The 22,066-nt window shown below is 46.1% G+C and overlaps 1 protein-coding gene across 2 annotated transcripts in view; it reads right to left on the bottom strand.

Annotated features, from left to right (window-relative positions):
* The window catches only part of GRK7 (G protein-coupled receptor kinase 7), a 69,369-nt gene that overhangs the window by 29,680 nt on the left and 17,623 nt on the right, over positions 1–22,066 (bottom strand). For both annotated transcript variants that reach the window (XM_047447449.1, NM_139209.3), the window contains 3 exons: positions 14,993–15,093; positions 10,777–11,501; positions 8,862–9,299 (listed from right to left, as the gene is read on the bottom strand). In XM_047447449.1, coding sequence (XP_047303405.1) covers positions 8,862–9,299; positions 10,777–11,388 — 1,050 coding nt within the window. In that variant the 5' untranslated portion in view covers positions 11,389–11,501; positions 14,993–15,093. The remainder of the gene's footprint in view (positions 1–8,861; positions 9,300–10,776; positions 11,502–14,992; positions 15,094–22,066) is intronic.

The following is a 22,066-nucleotide window of genomic DNA, read 5'->3' as shown; positions in this document are numbered from 1 at the left end:
TGTTTTTTTTTTTTTTGCCCATTTGGCATCCAGTCCCCATCTTTTGCATTGTGATTTTCCTGTGGGGAACACATTCTTCTGCTCTCGATCCATGAGATTTACGTGGGACAGACCTTCCTCTGGCTCCTGGGACAGGCAGTGATCTAGTCTCGGCCAATGGGATTGGTTGTGGTTGGACATGTGACCTGAGTTGTCCAGTGAGCGCCCTCTCTGGGAACTGTGAAGGAACTATTCATAAAGAAAATGTTTTCCCTCTGTGGGAGTGGTTCAGTTGGTAGGAAGTGTATGGGGCGACTGGTGGCTCCCGTGCAGGGAGTACCTGCCTGAGAGTGAGGGCAACACAGAGAAGAGCGAAGCTGGGAAACAGAGACAGAGACTCCCAGGGACACTGCTCAGACACCTGGATCAGGCCAGGGCTTCCTAGTTATGTAAACCGTTAATTTCATTTTTCTGAAGTAACATAGTTCTGTCCCATAATAACTCTGATTGATAGTCCAGTAAATCACAGTAACCTACTCTATCTGTTCATCTTTTGAGTTTAAAACTTCTTTCCTCCTAGGCCAGGTGCAGTGGCTCACACCTGCAATCCCAGTACTTTAGGAGGCTGAGGCAAGTTGATCACATGAGGCCAGGAGTTCAAGACTAGCTTGGCCAACATGGTGAAATCCCATCTCTACTAAAAATACAAAAATTAGCCAGGCATGGTGGCGCTTGAACCTCAGCCAGGCGTAGTAGTGCTTGAACGTGAGAGGTAGAGGTTTCAGTGAGCTGAGATCACACCACTGCACTCCAGCCTGGGCGACAGAATGAGACTTTGTTTCAAACCAGCAAACTTCTTTCCTCCAGATAATTCAAAGACTATCTCATAGACTCAAAAGTGGTAGCAATTGCAGAGACGTCTTAAGGCCCACTTGAGAGGGCAGACATGGTGAATGAGTGATGAAGCTGGGACAAGAGCTCAGGTTTCAGCCTCCCAGGCCAATGCTCTTCAGCCCCGGCATCTCCTTGCGTGTCTGCCTCAGTCTCTCAAACCTGGGCAGACCTGCTCCTTTCCATCCTTGAAGCACCTCCCGGAGTCACTACCCAGCTACCAGCTGCCAGAAGACCCCACGGGGCAGAAGTCACCGTGTTCTAGGAGCTGTTCTCTGTCCCCTAGCCCTCCACTGAGGACAGCCCCATTTTAAGAGAAGCATGTAAAGGTCTGGATCTTGATGGAGCCCAGGTAAGAGGCCAGGGGGCTGAGCTCTGTTTAGAGCCCAGGACCCAGCCTCAGGCCCGCATTACCTCATATGCAGATTATTACAGTAGCTCTTGGTGGGTTCCCGTTTCTCCCCAGCTCTAGTCTCTTTCTCTTTCATTTTAGATAGTGTCAGAATCATCTTCCTAAGGAATCACTCTGGTCATGGCACTTTCTTGTTCAAAAACCTTCAATGGCTCCCTACTGCCTGTAGAACAACATCCAAAGTACTTTACCCAGTGTCCTTCAGTGGCGAGAAAGGGCCTGTGCCCCCCCAGGGAGGCACAGCTCATACCCAGGGAAGAGTTACCCACTTGGAAGACTCATGTCCAAAGTTCTAAATTCAATTACAGCCTCCAGTTCTATTAAAATAGGCAGTAGGTATTATTTGTTTTTGTTCTCGTTTTTTGTTTGTTTGTTTGTTTAGAGACAAGGTCTTGCTCTGTCACTCAGGCTGGAGTGCAGTGGTGTGATCACGGCTACCTGCAGCCTCAAACTCCCAGGCTCAAGCAATCCTCCTGCCTCAGCCTCCTGAGTAGCTGGGATTACAGGTGCATACCATCATGCCCAGGTAATTTTTTTTTTTTTTTTTAAGAGACAAAGTCTTGCTATGTTGCCTAGACTGGTCTCAAACTTCTGGCCTCAAGGGATTCTCCCACCTTGGCTTCCCAAAGTGTTGGGATTACAGGCGTGAGTCACAGCACCTGACTGGTGGTAGGTATTCTGATTCCTGTGAGAAAGGAAAATATTATCCCTCTAACAGTGTCCAGCACCTTGATATCTTCTCTATTAATTTTTTTTTTTTTTTTTTGAGGCAGAGTCTCACTTTGTTGCCCAGGCTGGAGTGCAGTGGCGCAATCTTGGCTCACTGCAACCTTCTGCCTCCCAGGTTCAAGCAATTCTCCTGCCTCAGCCACTTGAGTAGCTGGGATTACAGGTGCCTGCCATCATATCTGGCTAATTTTTGTATTTTTAGTAGAGATGAGGTTTCACCATGTTGGCCAGGCTGGTCTCAAGCTCCTGACCTCAGGTGATCCACCCGCCTCAGCCTCCCAAACTGCTGGGATTATAGGCATCAGCCATAGCACCCAGCCCTTCTCCACTAATTTTGATGCTACCCTACAATATTTCTCTGGCTACCTTCCTTTATTAACTATTTGTATGAGTTTTCTACTGATGTGTAACAAATTACCACAAACTTAGTAACTTAAAACAGTTCATTTATTAGCTTGCAGTTCCGTAGGTCAGAAGTTCTGGCACAGCATGGCAGGGCTCTTTGGTCATGGACTCACAAGGCTAATAAAATGGAGATGTTGGTCAGGCTACATTCTGATCTGGAGCCCAAGGTCCTCTTCCAAGTGTATGTGGTGATGGCAGAATTCAGTTCACTCTGGCTGTAGAAAGGAGGCCCCTGTTTCCTTGCTGGCTGTCAGGGAGAGGCAGCTCTGAGTGCCTAGAGTCCACCTACACACCTTGCTCCTCCATCTTCAAAGCCAGCAGGGTGCACAGAGGCCCTCTGTGCTTTACATTTCTGACTTCTGCTGTCTCTAGCCTCTATGCCCATATTGAAAGGATAGGTGTGATGAGGTCAGGCCCACCTGGATAATTTCTCTTTTGATGAATTCAAAGTCAACTAACTAGTAACTTTTTTTTTTTTTTTCCGAGAGTCTTACTCTGTCACCCTGGCTGGAGTGCAGTGGCGTGATCTTGGCTTACTGCAACCTCTGCCTCCTGGGTTCAAGCGATTCTCCTGCCTCAGCCTCCCAAGTAGCTGGGACTACAGGCACGTGCCATCATGCCCAGCTAATTTTTTTGTATTTTTAGTAGAGACCAGGTTTCACTGTGTTAGCCAGCGTGGTCTTGATCTCCTGACATCATGATCTGCCTGCCTCAGCCTCCCAAAGTGCTAGGATTACAGGCGTGAGCCACAGCACCCTGCTACTAGTAACTGTAATTAAAACTCTGAAGTCCCTTTTGCCCTGTAACATAACACAACCATGGCAGTGATATCTCATCATACTCACGGGTCTTGTCTACACTCAAGGGGAGGGGATTATACAAGGGCAAGCAAGGGTCATTGATGGGGGGCCATCTTAGAATTTTGTCTACCATACCATTGTCACAATCATTCTTTAGTTCCAATGTCTGTAAAAGTAATGAATCTGAATTTGATTTCCTAATCCTCATCAATATTTTTTTCCTGGGGCCTGGTGTGGCAGATGCTGTCAGCTCACCCAACACCTAATCTCATTCCTCCTCTCCTTTAACATCCCCCAAAACAGAGGCTGGAAAATGAAATACTCTATTTTTCAGCCTCCTTTGCTGCTAGAAGTGAACATATGACATGGTCCTGGCTAATGGGCTATAAGCAGGTATCTGTGGATGTTGTTCTTTTCTCCTCTTTTTTCTTCTCCTGGAATGCAGACTCAATATTTGGAGTTGCAACAGCCACTTGTGACAAGGAGGAAAAGGCCAAAAGATTTTTTTTTTTTTTTTTGAGACAGGGTATTGTTCTGTCACCCAGGCTGGAGTGCAGTGGCATGATCATAGCTCACTGAAGCCTTGAACTCCTGAGCTCAAGCAATCCTCCCACCTCAGCCTCCCAAGTAGCTGGGACCACAGGCATGCATCACCACACCTGGCTAAGTTTAAAACAATTTTTTTTTTTTTTTGAGACAGACTCTTTCTCTTTCATCCAGGCTGGAGTGCAGTGGTATGATCTTGGCTCACTAAAACCTCCACCTCCCGGGTTCAAATGATTCTCCCACAGCAGCCTCCCAAGTAGCTGGGATTACAGGCACCCACCACCATGCCTGGCTAATTTTTGTATTTTTAGTAGAGACAGGGTTTCAACATGTTGGCCAGGCTGGTCTCGAACTCCTGACCTCAGGGGATCCACCTGCCTTGGCCTCCCAAAGTGTGGGATTACAGGTGTGAGCCACCACGGCCAGCCTAAAACAAAACAAAAAAATTTTTTTTAAGAGATGGGGTTCGCACTATTGACTGGTCTTGTCCTCCTGGGCCCAAAGTGCTGGGATTAGGCCTGAGCCACCACACCCAGCGCAAGCCAGGAGATTTTTAACAGAGGTCTTGTCCGTGAAATTGCTGAACAGCCAAATCTATACCAAAATCTGGTATTCTGTTATATTTAGTAGAAAGAAATCCCAACTTATACAAGACTAAATAACTCTCTGAATGAGAAAAAGCTAGCCAAATTTCCAAAGCCATGATGCCTTAACTTTTCTGGAAGAACTGCTCAGACTCAATGCAGAGTTCAACCTCCATCATCAGGGTGATTTTTCCTTGTTACCTCTTCTGTCTTAACTTGTTTTCTGTTGCTTATGACAGAGTATCTAAGACTGAGTATTTTATAAGGAAAGTATTTTATAAGGAAAGGAAGGTTGAGGGAAATGTCTGGTGAGAGGATGAGAGTCTTATTGCTGGTGGGAACTCTCTGAGGAGTACTGAGATGGCTCAGGGCATCGCGTGGGGCTGAGTGTGCTGATGTGCTAGCTCAGGTCTTTCTCTTCTTATAAAGCTACCATTTCCACTCCTGTGATAACCCATTAATCCATTCATCTATTCACAGCGGCAGAGCCCTCATGGTCCACTCACCTCTTAAAGGCCCCACCTCTCCAACACTGCCACATTGGAGATTAAGTTTCCAACACATCAAATTTTGAGGACTCATTCAAACCACAGAATTAATGTTCACAGTAATTCTCTAACACAGTATCTTGACATCACAACTGAACGTTAGTGGTTACAGAAGCCCTGTAACTATGATCTGTCTTTTTTTTCTGTGAAATGTTGTGAATATAATGACCTTACAATCTACTTGTGAGCCCAATTATATGTGTGGGAGCTGCAATGAATAGGAAACTAAGGGGGTTTACTTAGCTGTGTAGAAGGGTAAACAGTGAAGAAAGGAGGCCTTCCTTTCTCTTCTCTTTGTTTTTTATGGCTTTCAATCTTGCTCTCCATCTCTCTCCCCTCACCCTTCCTGATGGTCCCCTGGGCTTCCGTGGCAGGCCCGGAAACTGGGGCATAAAACTTCTTGGATGAGGCAAGTGGCCTAAACCCTGAAGTGTGGTCTCACGGGACGGAGAGGGATGCAGAGGTAAAAGGGCCAAAGGTCTGTAGGCAGTGAGCCTCTCTACTAAGTACGTTCCTGGTAGCGGACAGCACTGGGGAGGCACAGAAACCTTCCTGCACGTTCCAGATGAGCCAGAGAGCTGCACCCGGGAGCCAAGGAAGGAGCTGTCCTTCCAAATGGCCATGGCCCATGAACAGAGCCTGAGGAGACTGAGAAAGGAGACTGGAGTGAGCCAAAGCTCTATGTGTCCCCTAAGCCTCCAGCAAGGTCGAGATATAGCAACAATTAGTGTGATACATGTCCATGGGCGACTCAGAAGGAACGCTCCTGCTCAGCACAATGGACAATACAAATGCCAAACTGTGAAGTGCTGCACTTCAGTTTTCTCCAGCCTAGGCAGACATGGATCCACGATTCACAGCGTTCCTGTGTTCATAGGAATGTCCCAAGGAGGCAAACACTCTGTCACCTCCCTGGCCTGCTCCTCCTTCCCACCCACAGAGGAGACGGTGTTACTTCAGCTCCTCCCCACATTCTCTGCCATCATCTACTGTCTTTCCTTCCCACAGGATCAACACCTACTCTGCTGGCTTTTGCCTCAGCATCTAAACCCGCTCTGCCCTCCCCATCTCAAAACTCCATTTCCCCACTGTATCCCCTTCTAGGGACCAGTCTCCCCCTTCCAGAGTCTCATTCCCTACTTCTAGATCAATCCAGCCTCCAGAGTCTGAATTGAGACCTCACCATTCCCTTACACTGATTTCCTAATTGCCAAATCCCACAGGCGACGTTACCTCTTTGCAACACTTGACACTTTGACCACACTTTCCTCCCTGAAATCCTCTTCTTTGGCTCCTGTGGCAGAGGCTGCTAGTTACCTGCTCAATATCCAGCTGTTCTTCATCCTTACTAACTAGAACCCGCTCCTTCACCCCTGCCTCAAGTTCCACATCTACAACGTGGGCACACATGGCCTGGACATGAGCCGGGTGATCTTCTCCTCAGCCCAGATATAATTCAGTAATTATAATCGCTTAATTATAATTCCCTTTTTAACCAAAGAATTTTCAAGAATGTCATTTGTCAGCTTCCTCTGCAGCTAGGGGGTGGCCAGATCACAGTCTTAGCCAGTGACATCTAAGTGAAAGCTGTTGGATGGAGCTTCAGGGAAAGCTCCTAAAGGGGGCCACACTCAACTGCTGCATGCATGCCTATTTACTCCTGACCCTTCCTCCTTTCTCCTACCTGGAACATGGCCCTGATGGCTGGGGCTACAGCAGCCATCTTGCAGCACATGGAAAAGGCTAGAATTATAAAGATGCAGATCCCATTATTCTGCAGCTGCTGAACTAATGCTGGCAAGTGCTTATTTCCACACCCTGTTACATAAGAAAAATAAACCTCTGTCTTGTTTAATCTATTGTTATTTGGGTTTTCTAGGATATGCCCCTGAAACCCATCTCTAACTGATACAGCTCCTATGACTATATCACTCTTGCCTTTCCTCCTACTTCTTTTTTTTTTTTTCTTTTTTTAAGATGGAGTCTCGCTTTGTAGCCCAGGCTAGAGTGCAGTGGTGTGATCTCAGCTCACTGCAAGCTCCGCCTCCTGGGTTGACGTCATTCTCCTGCCTCAGCCTCCCAAGTAGCCTTCTACTTCTTAAACCTCTTCAGGGCTCCTTTTCTTCTATACCCCCACATGTTGGTGTTTTTCAGCTTCTGTTCCTGGTCTTCTTCCCCTACTCTTTCCCAGTGACTCAGCAGTGCCCTCTGCTTCCCAAACCATGATAACTCCAAATCCCCACGTCTATCCCAGGTCTTCCTCCACAGCACCAGGCCTATAGATCTAAATGCCTAGTGAACATCTCTGCCTGTCCCTTCTACAGGAACCTCATAGACAGCATAATCACAATTAAACTTGCCAGCTTGCCTACAAATCTGCTCTTCCTTCTGGCCACTGGAGCTAGAGACCCTCACTTTCCCCTCACCCCCATACCCAGCTGGTCCTGAAGTCCCATCAGATCTCTTTCCAAAAGCTCCAATTTGCTCCCACTTCTTCAATCCCACTGTCCTGTACAGACCCCCATTATTTCTTGCCTGGGCCACTCACTACCTTAGCCTCCTAACTGATGTCCCCACCTACCATCTAACTTCCAAATTGTTGCCGCATTGGTCTTTTTAAGACAGAAATCTAATCATGTCATTTCCCTTCTTAAAACCCTTCAAGAACCCCTCTTCCCCTACAAGAAGGCATTCCAGCACCTGTGAAAGCCCAGCCCTTCAGTCTTGTCAACATCCCTTCCATTACAGCCACATAAAATCACCACAGCAGTTTCCCAAACTTGCCATGATTTTTCTCATTTCCTTTGGGCCCTGTAGGCTGAAAACTGTACAAAAATGAGGTTTTAAGTAACCATTTAAGAGCCAGGTTTGAGCCCTTGCCTTGCTGTGGAATCTCCCACCTTTGTGCACAGAGACTCAGAGGTAAAGATGTTAGAATTCCAGAGATTTTCCGTCGTTCACCTAACATAATCGCTTAATTATAATTCTCTTTTTAACCAAAGAATTTTAAGCAAGTCACTTTGAACAAAACTGATTAAAATAAACATCAGTTGCCTTTGTTTTCTTCCATATATTTTCATTTAAAATATCATCTTCATCCAATGCAAAACATTCGCCCATTCCACACTAAACAGGAAAGGAGATATTTTACTTTTAATGTTCTAGGTGTGAGAGGATCATTCTTTTTCCTTCTTTCTTTATTTTTTTTCTTTTTTCTTTTTCTTTCTTTCTTTTTTTTTTTTGAGACAGAGTCTTGCTCTGTCGAGCAGGCTGGAGTGCAGTGGCATGATCTCGGCTCACTACAACTTCCGCCTCCTGGGTTCAAGCGATTCTCCTGCCTCAACCTCCCGAGTAGCTGGGATTACAGGCGCCTGTCACCATGCCTGGCTAATTTTTGTATTTTTACTAGAGATGGGGTTTCACCATGTTGGCCAGGCTGGTCTCAAACTCCTGACCTCAGCAGATCCACCCGCCTCGGCCTCCCCAAAGTGCTGGGATTACAGGCGTGAGCCATCACACCCAGCCGGATCATTCTTTTTCTTATCTGATTAAAGTTTACCTCCTAGGATCATGGAATTTTAGGGTCCAGCCCCTTCATTTTCCAGAAAAGGAACCCAAGGCTCTATTGGCTCAGGAACACAGCACCATAGAGGTGGTTATTGACACACCCGGACCATGACTATGGATTCAGCTTTTTCCATCTCATCACAAAAGCACAGGCCATCCCCAACTCACAAAGGAGGCTCCCCCATCCCCTGTGAGAGGAGAGCAAAGTAGCCCTCAAATAGCCAATGAATCTAATCCTCTTACACCACTCATCTTAAGGCAAGATGACAACGTAAGCGCTTTAGGAAAAAAAACCAAAAGAATTAAGTCCAAGGCTCTATTTGCCCTGGGAATAGAAAAGCCCTCTCCCCTCCTTTCCAACTCTGTGCCCCGCACTTGGGGCAGGTGGAGAGTCACTCACCCTCTGGGTGATGGGCTTGCCACCCTTCATCTCCACGGCCAGCCCCAGGTCAGATAACCTGCAGTTGCCGAGGTCATCCAGAAGCACATTCTCAGGCTTCATGTCCCGATAGACGATGCCGAGTTCATGGAGGTGCAGCATCCCACAGGCTATCTGGGCCGAGTAAAAGATCACCCGGCTCATGTCCAGGCCACGCGTGCCCACGTTGTAGATGTGGAACTTGAGGTCTCCCCCATTCATCAGGCTCATGACAAGGCAGAGATGGGTCTTGCTCTCAAAGGCATAGGCCAGAGAGACAATGAAAGGGCTGCTGACCTTCTCCAAGATTTCCTTTTCCAAGAGAGCCATCTTCTCGCCACCTTTCTTCTTCAGCCGCTTCTTGTCCAGTTTCTTACAGGCATACATCTTCCCAGTGTTTTTCACCTGGACGGCACATACCTTAAAGGAGAAAGAAAAGAAGAGAAAGAGGTAGAAGTAGATGGTACTGCAGAGAGGTGGAGATGATAAAGGAGGAGGTGGGTGGAAAGATGTTAGGCATTGGAGAAAGGAGTAGCTGTAAATAAGAAGTGTTCTCAAGAAAAAGTGGGGACTACAGTGCGATACTCCTTCACCTCACTAGGCAGGCCTTCATAAAAAAATACAGGAAAATATCAAGTGTTGGCAAGGATGTGGAGAAATCGAAACCTTTAAGCATTGCTGGTGGGAATAAAAAATGTGGAAAGTTTGGTGGCTCCTTGAAAAGTTAAACATAGTATCACCATATGCCCTAGCAATTCCACTCCTGGGCATAAATCCAAGAGAAATGAAAACAAGGATTCAAACAAATACTTGTGCATGAATAGCAGCACCATACACAATAGCCAAAAGGTGAAAACAGCCCAAGTGTCCATCAACAGATGAATGGCTACATGAAATGTAGTACATCCATACAATGGAATATTATACAGCCATAAAAAGGAATGGAGTATTGACACATGCTACAGTGTGAATGAACCCCAAAAACATTCTAATGAGTGAAAGAAGCCAGACACAAAAGGTCACATATTGTGTGAAACACCCAGAATAGGCAAATCCCTAGAGACAGAAAGCGGACTAGTGGTTGTCAGGGCTGGAGGAGGAGAGGGATGGGGAGGCACTATTAATGGGCACAGGGGTGATGAGAGTGTCTTGGATCCAGATTGAGGTGTTGCTTACCCAACATTGCATTTGTGCGAAGTGCCACTGCATTGTACATTTTAAAACAGTTAATGGTTAGTTTTATATCAAGCAAATTTTACCTGAAATATTTTTTATTACTTAAAAACAGAAAGCTGGGCACAACAGTGGTACAAAACAGGTTCTCAACCTTACTTCAAGATAAGTGTTTTCTTTCTTTTCTTTCTTTCTTTTTTTTTTTTTTTTTGAGTCTTGCTCTGTCACCCAGGCTGGAGTGCAGTGGCACGATCTTGGCTCACTGCAACCTCCACCTCCCAGGCTCAAGTGATTCTCCTGCTTCAGCCTCCCAAGTAGCTGGGATTACAGGCATGTCACCACACCCAGCTAGTTAGAGTATTTTCTTAAATATCCATTTTTCTTGAAGTGCCTTCATTATCACAATTTAGGGGAAACGGAGATCTTCTGTCACACATTGCTATCATTCTCTGAAGTGTCCAGGCATCTCAGCACGTTCCTAATGGAGACCCATGACAGAGTCTTGGCCAAGTATAAATTTTGCTTGTCTCTCTCATGCCATTTGTGTTTTATTTCACACCATGGCACACACAAAGAAGGGGGCTGGGGAGACGGGGCTAGAAATCCTCCACATATGGTGCTGAAATTAGTTCTAAGTAACTGAGATTTAAAAAAAGAAAGGCAACATTACCCCCTTTCATGCTCTATGCTTCACCTTCTAGCCTGGCTACTGGGAGACACTTACCTCCCCAAAACCACCTTTCCCCAGCACTCTGAACTCAGTGAAGTACTTGTCTGACACTGGTTGCATCTCGAAGAGTTTCCACTGCAGAAACTTGTCGTAGAAGGCGCTGGTCACGAAATCCTTAAAGGGCTGCTCTTGCAAGAAAGCCATGGCCTCAGCCTTGGCCAGCGTCACTGCAGCCACTCGCTCTTCCTCAGTGGTGGCTGCTTGGCACTTGGTGGCCACGGCCTGGCTGAGGAAGGGTTGCGGGTTCCCCGGGGCAGGGGCACTCGCACAAGTGGCCACCAGCCCCTGCAGCGCGCTGTCTTTGGTGGGTCCCTCCTCGGCCAGCTCCCAGTTCTGCACGTCCTCTAGGAAGGTTGCCGCCTTGCGGAACGTGGGCACTGTGGCTAGGAAGTCACGGAAGAGGCGGCGACCGATGGGCTGCTGCTCACACAGGCTGTGGAAGTTCAGGGACAGCTTCTGGCGGAGCTCCGCGCAGCCCTGCAGCCCGGGCAGGGCCAGGCTACGCCGCCGCCGCTGCAGCTCTTTGCTGTCGCAGTCCGAGGGCTTCCGGGCCTGCAGGTAGGCGGTGTTGGCGATCAGGTTGTCCAGGGCCCCCATGTCCACCATGGCTGAGCACGGGGCGCACTCCCAGGGAAAGCACAAGAGGGCTGGAGGGCTGCTGGCTGCTTTCCCTTCCCGGGTGAGACAACGTCCAAGGGATTTACAGTGAGTCCTGTGGCCTGTGGGTGGGACCCGTGGAGGGTGTGAAAGAGGTTTCTCTTGTAAGAAGCTTTGACTGGCTATGTATAGCCCGCCAGGAACTGCACACGATAGGTCATGCTCCCACCTGCCAAGGCGAAAGCTGCTGGGACACCTGCCGGGGCCACCTCCCCCACTGGTCCCTTCATCTTAGGGTCTTTCTCCACATAGCCCTGTACCCTGAATATCTAGCTAGAACTGTGTTCCAAGGAAGTGATCATACCGTTGTCATCTAATTTGTTGCTGATGCAGTAGTTTAATCTGTTTCTAATTTTACTTGTTTCCTATCAGCCTCAAGCTATGTAAACTCCTAGGAATAGCAGGTCAGGCAGAGGAACTGTGAGAAGTCAGAGCAGTTTCCTCCCAGGTTCTAGCAGCCTGACACGAAGAGCAGGTTACAGAGGGGATGTTGTGAGCTTTGAGTCCCGAGATGTGTTCCCAGAGGCCCTAAGGACTCCAGTGTTGGCCAGGGCAGATGCACCCTGAATAGCTTGCAGAAATCCTGCAGCTGTCTTAGCTCTGAGGAGTCTGTGACCTGGAGTACCTTGGGTTAAAAGAGGGGCCATCTCCGGGCGGATCACGAGGTCAGGAGATCGAGACCATCCTGGCTAACACGGTGAAACCCCGTCTCTACTAAAAAAAATACAAAAAAAAAAAAAAATTAGCCGGGCTTGATGGCGGGCGCCTGTAGTCCCAGCTACTCGGGAGGCTGAGGCAGGAGAATGGCGTGAACCCGGGAGGCGGAGCTTGCAGTGAGCCGAGATTGCGCCACTGCACTCCCGTCTGGGCCACAGAGCGAGACTCCGTCTCAAAAAAAAAAAAAAAAAAAAGAGGGGCCATCTCCACCCAAAACATACCATGAAGCAGTATAAGCAGAAAAAGCCATATTCCTGAAATGAAGGGACTTGGCCTGGAGTGTCTGGGCTCTGAATGAGACAAGAATTTTCCATGATCCCAAAGACAGAAAGCACGCCACTCACGGCATGCGGTCGCGACTGTTCCAAGGGCACAATCTAACGAGCAGACTCTGAATGCCAAGGAGCCTTCGCGTGGAGCCAAGAGCAGTGAAGTTTCAGACGTGGCCCCTCAACATCTTTGCCCATGCGCCCCACCAAGCGAGGAAGCTTCCTTCCACGGAGGACGCTCGGAGCTGTCACAGACCTCGGCCTCATCAAGACAGAAATTGATCTAGACAGAGATCAGGCTAAGAACTTCTGCTCCAAAAATAACAACCTGTGCCCCACAGGGAAAGGATACTCAGGCTTTTTCTTCACAAAGCAAGGCTAAGGCAGCTTAAAAACAAGTCATTCAGTATTATGCCAAAGTGTTTACAAGCAAAAAAAAGAGAGAGGGAGAAGGAGGGGGAAAAAAGCTGGTCAGTCTTTTTCCAAACAACTGCTAGCATACACTTTGTGAAAACATAGTCATGATCGCCTTGCTCTGCCTGTCAGAGCCTCCGACTGTTCCCCTAGAGCACATACACACTTGGCCTCATGCTACCAGGAATTATGTAATGAACTCGTGGGTGCCCTTTGGCTTTGCACCGCTGCGCTGGAAACGATCACCTCTGCCGTGGAGATGGGCGATCTGCACCGGTGCCCGCTGCTCTGAACCATGCTGTCTGCTTTGAAACCAACACGGGAAATGTTGGATACTTTTCTGTTCTTTATATGTTACCCCGGTCCACATTGTTCAGTAGTGAGAAATTGGTCTGATAATTTCTTCGGAGGAGCAAATGCCTTTTCCCGTGGTTCTTAGGAATGTAGTGGCAGCCTAGCAAGGTAGAACCTTGAGAAAACGGTAGCATTGATATCACAGATATATACATATTTATATATATTTTTTATTTTTTTTAATTTTTATTTTGAGACGGAGTCTCGCTCTATCACCCAGGCTGGAGTGCAGTGGCGTGATCTCGGCTCACTGCAAACTCCGCCTCCTGGGTTCACGCCATTCTCCTGCCTCAGCCTCCCAAGTAGCTAGGACTACAGGTGCCCGCCACCGCGCCCGGCTAATTTTTTGTATTTTGTTTAGTAGAGATGGGGTTTCACTGTGATAGCCATGATGGTCTCGATCTCCTGACCTCATGATCTGCCCGTCTCGGCCTCCCAAAGTGCTGGGATTACAGATGTGAGCCACCGTGCCTGGCCGATATCACAGAGATATTTAAGCTTATCACTGGGGAAAAAAAATGCTTTCACTGGTAAACACGTATGCTATGAACTGCTTGATTCCACTCATGCTAATACTTTCTTTTATCCCTAAGTAATCACTTAACCCAATACTGCCCAGTAGAAAATATGAAGCCACATATGTAATTAAAAATTTTCTAGCAACTACATTAATATGATAAAAAAAAAACAGGCGAAATTAACTTTAATAGTTATATTTTAGTTAGCTCAGTATATCCAAAATATTATCATTTCAACATGTAATTGATGTAAAAGTTGCCAATGGGATATTTTACATTCTTTTTTGTGTATGTGTCCTGAGTTCGCAGAATCTGGTTTGTACATTACACTTACAACACATTTCAATTCAAACCAGGCAAATTTCAAATGCTAAGTAGCCACATGTTCTACTTAGTATTTGAAATAAGTAGCCACATGTGGCTACTTATTGGAGAGCACAGACTTACCTTTATTTATGTAACTTTGTCATTCTTAAAAAGAGGGAGTTTTTCTTATCATCTGTTTTCTAATCAATAAAAATAGATCTGAATAAATAACTCACTTTCTTTTCTTTTCTTTTTTTTTAGACAGGGTCTCACTCTGTCACTCTGTCGTCGCCCAGGCTAGGGTGCAGTGGCGTGATCTTAGCTCACTGCAACCTCTGCCTCCTGGGCTCAAGCGAGTCTCCCAAGTAGCTGAGACTACAGGCACCTGCCACCAGGCCCAGCTAATCTTCATATTTTTAGTAGACATGGGGTTTCACCATGTTGCCCAGGCTGGTTCTGAACTCCTGACCTCAAGTGATCCGCCCTCCTTGGCCTCCCAAAGTGCTAAATTACAGGCGTGAGCCACTGTGCCTGGTTCACTTTCTTATTAATTAAAAATAATCTGGCTGGGTGCAGTGGCTCCTGCCTGTAATCCCAGCACTGTGGGAGGCTGAGGCGGGTGGATCACTGGAAGCCAGGAGTTTGAGATCAGCCTGGCAACATGGCGAAACCCCGTCTCTGCTAAAAACACAAAAATAAGCTGGGCATGGTGGCGGACTCCTGTAGCCCCAGCTACTTGAGAGGCTGAGGCAGGAGAATCGCCTGAACCCAGGAGGCGGAAGCTGCAGTGAACCGAGATCGACAGAGTGAGACTCTGTCTCAAAACATATAATAATAATTAATAATAATAATAATAATAATAATAATAATAATAATCTGACTGGTGACAACAAGTTTAAATAATATTTGACACAAAATATAGAAGTTATAAAATGATAATATGGTACCTACCATTATTTTTAAAGTTTTGCTCACCTGACAATACAGTGAAAAATCAGTCTGAGAATTTCTTCGGAGGAGCAAATGCCTTTTCCCGTGGTTCTTAGGAATGTGGTGGCAGCCTAGCAGGGTAGAACCTTGAGAAAATGGTAGCATTGATATCACAGAGATATTTAAGCTTATCACTGGGGAAAAACATGCTTTCACTGGTGAACATGTATGCTATGAACTTCTTGAAGGTCTATTTAAAATGAAACATTTTCTTTTTCTTTCTTTTTTCTTTTTTTTCTTTTTTGAGACAGGGTCTCACTCTGTTGCCCAGGCTAATGTGCAGTGGCTCAATCTCAGTTCACTGCAGCCTCAACCTCCTGGGCTCAAGGGATCCTCCTACCTCAGCCTCCCGATTTGCTGGGACTACAGTTGTGCACCATCACACCTGGCTAATTTTTGTATTTTTAGTGGAGACATGTTGCCCAGGCTGGTCTCGAACTCCTGGCCTCATGTAATCCATCTGCTTCGGCTTCTGAAAGTGCTGAGATTACAGGTATGAGCTACCATGCCCGGCTGGAACACTTTCTGTGATTGCTAACAATAGGATCCAGAGATTTTCCCAACTTAATGAAACAGTAATTATAGGTTCAATTAAAGAACAGCATTGAATTCTTATATTAGAAGCAGAGCACACACTTTGCCAAAAGTGCTGGGCACAGTCAGCATCCCTTGCGCCAAGTGGGGAAACGTACCAGAAACCTGGGGTTGGGGATGTGGCCCAACAGTTAAGAGCACTAAGTCCAGCACTGCTTGGGAAATCTGAATCCTGGCTTTAGCAAGTCCTAGCTGTGTGACTTTCAGCAAGTTACTTAACTTCTCTGAGCCTTAGTTTCATCATTTATAAAACAGGTAATAAATGTTGATTCTTGGGTAAGCTTTGAGAGAATTAAATGCCAAATGCCTGGCACAAAGAAGTGATCAAAAAGTATTAGCTTTTAAATCACGACCATCAGGCCGGGCGCGGTGGCTCATGCCTGTAATCCCAGCACTTTGGGAGGCCAAGGTGGGCAGATCACAAGGTCAGGAGATCGAGACCATCCTGGCTAACACGGTGAAACCCCGGGAGGTGGAGCTTGCAGTGAGCCGAGATAGTGCCACTGCACTCCAGCCTGGGCGACAGAGCAAGACTCCGTCTCAAAAAAATAATAACAATAAATAATAATCATCATAATAAATCATGACCATCAATCATCAAAATTTAGTCCAAAATTCTGCTTTTCTAATATGCAGATTCGAGGGGAGAAAGGCCTAAGCGATGTAGAAGAAGATGGGTTCCTGTGTCCCATGCACATCTAGTATAGAGCAGCCAATTCAGCATTTGCACATGACCTCGGAAAACTGTGATGCCCCATGCAGCTAGAAGACAGGGAGGTCAGATTTATTAAATATCATGCAAGATTTCTAACACACTATTGTAACTCAACAATTTACTATATTCCACCACAAAAAGAAGACTAACCTCTGTCATATGAAAAGAGGATATATTTCTTTATTTTTATTTTATTTTTTCAACTTTTTTTTTTTTTTTTTGAGACAAAGTCTCGCTCTGTTGGCCAGGCTGGAGTGCAGTGGCATGATCTCAGTTCACTGCAACCTCCGCCTCCCAGGTTCAAGCAATTCTCGTACATCAGCCTCCCAAGTAGCTGGGATTACAGGCATATGCCAATGCACCCAGCTAATTTTTGTATTTTTAGTAGAGATGGGGTCTCACCTTGTTGGCTAGGCTGGTCTTGAACTCCTCCTAACCTCAAGTGATCTGCCCGCCTCAGCCTCCCAAAGTGCTGGGATTACAGGCATGAGCCACTGCGCCCGGCCTCAACTTTTATTTTAGATTAAGGGATGTTTCATTTTGAATGAAAAATCATAACTTTTATGATAGTAGAAAGCAATTTAAATATTTTAGTATTTTTAGGACCCATTTTGTAACCTAGAGAAAAGAAAAAAATGCTCTTGCCCAGGTCTTTCATTACCCTTTGCATCATTTAAAGCATTATTAATGGTGTACATGTTCTCAATTTTAAAGTTTTCTCTCTGAAAATACATCCTAAGATTAACTGTTTAAGGAAAATAGTAAAGCTAAGTTTCTAGTAAGAAACTCACCATCCTTTAAAATGCCCAATTCTCTGCATGGTCCAATAGCATATCTATTTGAAGATCAAGAATTAGGAAGTAATATAGTGCAGTGCTATATGGTCTTAGAAACACAGAGAAGCTATTTTGAGCAGTGTAAGTTCTGAAGCAGACTAATACATTAGCATTAAAATACCCAAAAAGGCCGGACACAGTGGCTCACGCCTGTAATCCCAGCACTTTGGGAGGCTAAGGTGGGCGGATCATGAGGTCAGGAGTTTGAGACCAGCCTGGCCAATATGGTGAAACCTCATCTCTACTAAAAATACAAAAATTAGCCGCGCATGGTGGCGCATGCCTGTAATCCCAGATACTTGGGAGGCTGAGGCAGGAGAATTGCTTGAACCTGGGAGGTGGAGGTTGCAGTGAGCTGAGATAGTCCCACTGCACTCTACCCTGGGTGACAGCAAGATTCTGTCTCAGGAAAAATAAATTAATTAATTAAATAAAATAAAACAAAATACCCAAAGAACCCAGGTTGTTCTTTAGCTTCAAGTTGTTGATTGTTCAACAACTTTTGTTGTTGTTGTTGTTTAAAAATAGATTTACGGGTTGGGTGCAGTGGCTCACACCTGTAATCCCAGCACTTTTGGGAGGCTGAGACGGGTGGATCACCTGAGGTCAGGAGTTTGAGACCAGCCTGACCAATATGGTGAAACCCTGTGTCTACTAAAAATACAAAAATTAGCCGGGCATGGTGGTGGGTGCCTGTAATCCCAGCTACTTGGGAGGCTGAGACAGAAGAATTGCTTGAACCCAGGAGGCAGAGGTTACAGTGAGCCTAGATTGCGCCACTGCTCTCCAGCCTGGGTGACAAAGCAACACTCAGTCTCAAAAAAAAAATAGATTTGGGAGGTACAAGCACAGTTTTGTTATATGGCTATATTACATAATGATGAAGTCTAGGCGTTTAGTGTAGCCATCACTTGAATAATGTACATTGTACACATTAAGTAATTTGTTATCCCTTACCCCTGCTCCCACCTTCTTACCCTCCCATCCTTCCCAGACTTTAGTGTTTATTATTCTACTCTCTAAGTAATTTCTTATCCCTTACCCCTGCTCCCACCTTCTTACCCTCCCATCCTTCCTAGACTTTAGTGTTTATTATTCTACTCTCTAAGTACATATGTACACATTATTTAGTTACTGATTATTGAGAGAGTACATGCTGTATTTGACTTTCTCTTTCTGAGATGTTTCACTTAGATAATAATGGCCTCCAGTTCCATCCACATTGATGAAAAAGACATGATTCCATTCTTTTTTATGGCTGAGTAGTATTCCATGTATGGATATGTGTACACACACACACACACACGTGCACACACACATACATTTTCTTTACCCAGTCACCCATTGGTGAATACTTAGGTTGATTCCATATCTTTGCTATTGTGAATAGTGCTGTGATAAACATATGTGTGCAGTTATCTTTTTAATATAATGATTTCCTTTGAGGAGATACCCAATAGTGGGATTGCTGGACCAAATGGCAGTTCTCCATACTGGTTTTGACTTTTTTTTTTTTTTTTTTTTTTGAGACTGGGTATCACTCAGTCACCCAGGCCGGAGTGCAGTGGTGTGATCACGGCTTAGTGCAGCCAGCCTTGACCCCTTTGGTTTCAAGTGATCCTCCCACCTCAGCCTCCCAAAGTGCTGAGATTACAGGTGTGAGCACCATGCCTGGTCTCCATACTGTTTTCCATATAGTTTGTACTAATTTACATTCTCCTCAAAAGTGTATAAGCATTCCCTTTCTCAACATCCTCACCAACGTTTGTTGTTTTTTGACTTTTTAACAGTAGCTGTTCTGACTGGTGTGAGGTGGTATCTCATTCTGTAATCTGCATTTCTCTGATCATTAGTGGTGATGAGTATTTTTTATATGCTTGTTGGCCATTTATATGTCTTCTTTTGGCAACGTCTGATTTGAATCCTTCCACAGCAAAGGTGTCTTTTTTTTTTTTCTTTTTTCTTTCAGTAAAAGCCCTCTACTGGAAAGTATAGCAAAAGGGTCTTTACCCTCCCAGCAACAGCTGGCCCCACTTTTAATAATTTGAAGTAATCAAAAATACCTTGTTGGCCAGGTGTAGTGGCTCACTAGGTGGCTCCTAGTTGAAATCTAGCACTTACTTTTTTTCTGGTCTGTTTCCTTCATGTACAGTCATAGTTTAGATTAGGTAAACACTAAGGTAACACACATTTTATAAACTCTGTGATTATTGGATAATTGGAGTTAATAGGAAAGTGAGTGGTTTTCAACTGATATTTCCTGAAAGCTGGAAAATGAATTGTTCCCTCCTCTATGTGCCCCTTGGATTTGATACCTACCTCTAGAACAGCCTTTAACCACGCTGTAATTCCAGCACTTTGGGAGGCCAAGGCAGGCAGATCACTTGAGATCAGCCTGGCCAACGTGGTGAAACCCCGTCTTTACTAAAAATACAAAAATTAGCTGGGCATGGTAGCGGGCGGTTGTAATCCCAGCTACTTGGGAGGCTGAGGCAGGAGAATGGCTTGAACCCAGGAGGCAGAGGTTGCAGTGGGCCGAGATTGCGCCACTGCACTCCAGCCTGGGCGACAGGGCAAGGCTCTGTCTCAAAACAAACAAACAAACAAACAAAACCTTGTTGGTTTTTCAAAAATACTTTGTGATAATTCATTATGGCAGCCACAGGAGAGTAATACAGGGGCTGTCTGGTAGGAGCTGGGACTGCAGGAGAGGCTGTCACGTGGGAGCTGAAAGATCGGAGATGCAGCCACTCCCAGAGGTCACACACGAGGCCGAGTGAGATGGGGAGAGATGCCCTGGTGTCTTTCCTCATTAGCAGAGCCTGGCCAGAAGCCAGAGGGCAAGGGAGGCTGGGAAATGTCACTTGCAGAGCTTGCATGGGGTGAGTCCCTGCAGATACAGATCAGAGAAGGCCAAAGTCAGAGAAAGTGTCTGAGAACAAACAGGATGATGACCAACTCCTGTACCATTATCAGTTAAGCCATCCTTTTAAGGATTTGACCTCTCTCTTAGGAACAATGGGAGACCACTAGAGTGTTTAGCCATACGATGTGGATATATTTGTGTTTCAAAGACACCGCTGGCTGCTGCTTTATGAATAGAGTGGGTGCAGAAAGCCCAGATGAGAGGTTACTGCAGCAGCCTAGTGAGTCATGATGCTGGCTGTCAAGATGGAACAAAGCAGAAGGAATCTTAAGCTATTCAGAAGGCAAAATAGTCAGGAGTTGATGATTATGGAGGGTGAGGTAGAAGGAGATGAAGGGGTGAATCCAGGCTTAGGAGAGCTGGAGGATGGTTATGTCATTCACCAAGACAGGGAAAACCTGGAAGAAGGTGTTCAGTTTGGAACATGCAGAATTTGGGGTGCCTGGGAGATGTCCCAGTGGTGATGTTAGGTGGGCAGTGGGATAGAAGGGTCTGGAGTTCAGAGGAGAGGTCTGGAGGGAAAGGCATGTTTGGGAGTCATAGGGGAGTAGGTGATAATTGATGTAGGCATTGAAGAACCCACCTGGGGAGAGAGAAGGGAGTGAGACTGGAAGATGGACAAGGACTGAGCCTTGAGGTCATTCAACATTTATCATTCAGAGGATGAGCCTGTAAGGGAGGCTGAGAAGGAATGAGAAGGGAAGCTGGAGAGAAGCAGGAAAGTGTGGTGCCGCAAAAGCCAAGTAGAGAGTGGCCAACTGCATCGAATGCTGCTGAGAGGCTGAGATGATGAGGAGAAAGAAAGGAGGATGGATGGAAACCACTGGCTCCTGGAGTAGGACTCTCAGCCTGACTGGAGAGGATTGAGGAGGGAAGGAAGGTGGAGAAGTGAAGGTTGCAGCCACAGAACTTTGGCCATGAAAAGGGAGAGACATATGATGGGGAGCTGGAGGGGTTGCGAGAGATGGGAGAAAAAATTAATGGTAGTGTCTTGTGCTTGTTAAAAGCTAACAAGGACCAGGGGCGGTGGCTCATGCCTGTAATCCTAGCATTTTGGGAGGCCAAGGCGGGTGGATCACCTGAGGTCAGGAGTTCGAGACCAGCCCGGCCAACATGGTGAAACCCCATCTCTACTAAAAATACAAAAAAATTAGCCAGGTGTGGTGGTGGGTGCCTGTAATCCCAGCTACCTGGGAGGCTGAGGCTGGAGAATCACTGGAACCCGGGAGGCGGAGGCTGAGGCGGAGTCTGCAGTGAGCCAAGATTGCACCACTGCACTCCTGGGGAAGAGAGCGAGACTCCGTCTCAAAAAAAAAAAAAAAAGGCTGACAGGAAGGATCCAGGTTAGAGGGCGAGGTTAAAATATAAGGGGAAGGATTGGCCTTAGGACGAAGGGCAGCTCTCCAGACAGCACAGGAGTGTGGGTCTGTTGCAAGGGGTCTATGTGTGGTGGCCCCATTTACCATGATAACCGTGACACAGTGTGGTTAGAGGCCGCTCCACAGGTAGGCACCAAATCCAAGGGGAACATAGAGGAATGAACAATTCATTTTCTAACTTTCAGGAAATGTCAGTTGAAAACCACTCACTTTCCTATTAACTCCAATTATCCAATAATCACAGAGTTAAATAGAATGCATGTTATCATAGTGTGTACCTAGTCTAAGCTCTTCCTGTACATGAAGAAAACAGACCAGAAAAAACTTAAATGCTGGGTTTAGACTAGGAACTTAGGGTCTCATAGTCCATTCCAGGGTACTTTTCACTTAGCATTGTCCCTGTGGCATAGAGAAGCTTGGGGGTAAAAGAATCTAGTGTGACACACAAAGGAGAAAGCTGAGATATTTACAAATGATTCTTGTCCTCTGTTTCCCTTTAAAATAGCAGACTTTTCTGCTGGGCATGGTGGCTCACGCCTGTAATCCCAGTACTTTGGGAGGCCAAGGTGGATGGATCGCCTGAGGTCAGGAGTTTGAGACTAGTCTGGG

The sequence above is a fragment of the Homo sapiens genome, chromosome 3, assembly GCF_000001405.40.
Source record: "Homo sapiens chromosome 3, GRCh38.p14 Primary Assembly".
Lineage (NCBI taxonomy): Eukaryota > Metazoa > Chordata > Mammalia > Primates > Hominidae > Homo > Homo sapiens.
This window is presented reverse-complemented; position numbering and strand designations above follow the sequence as displayed.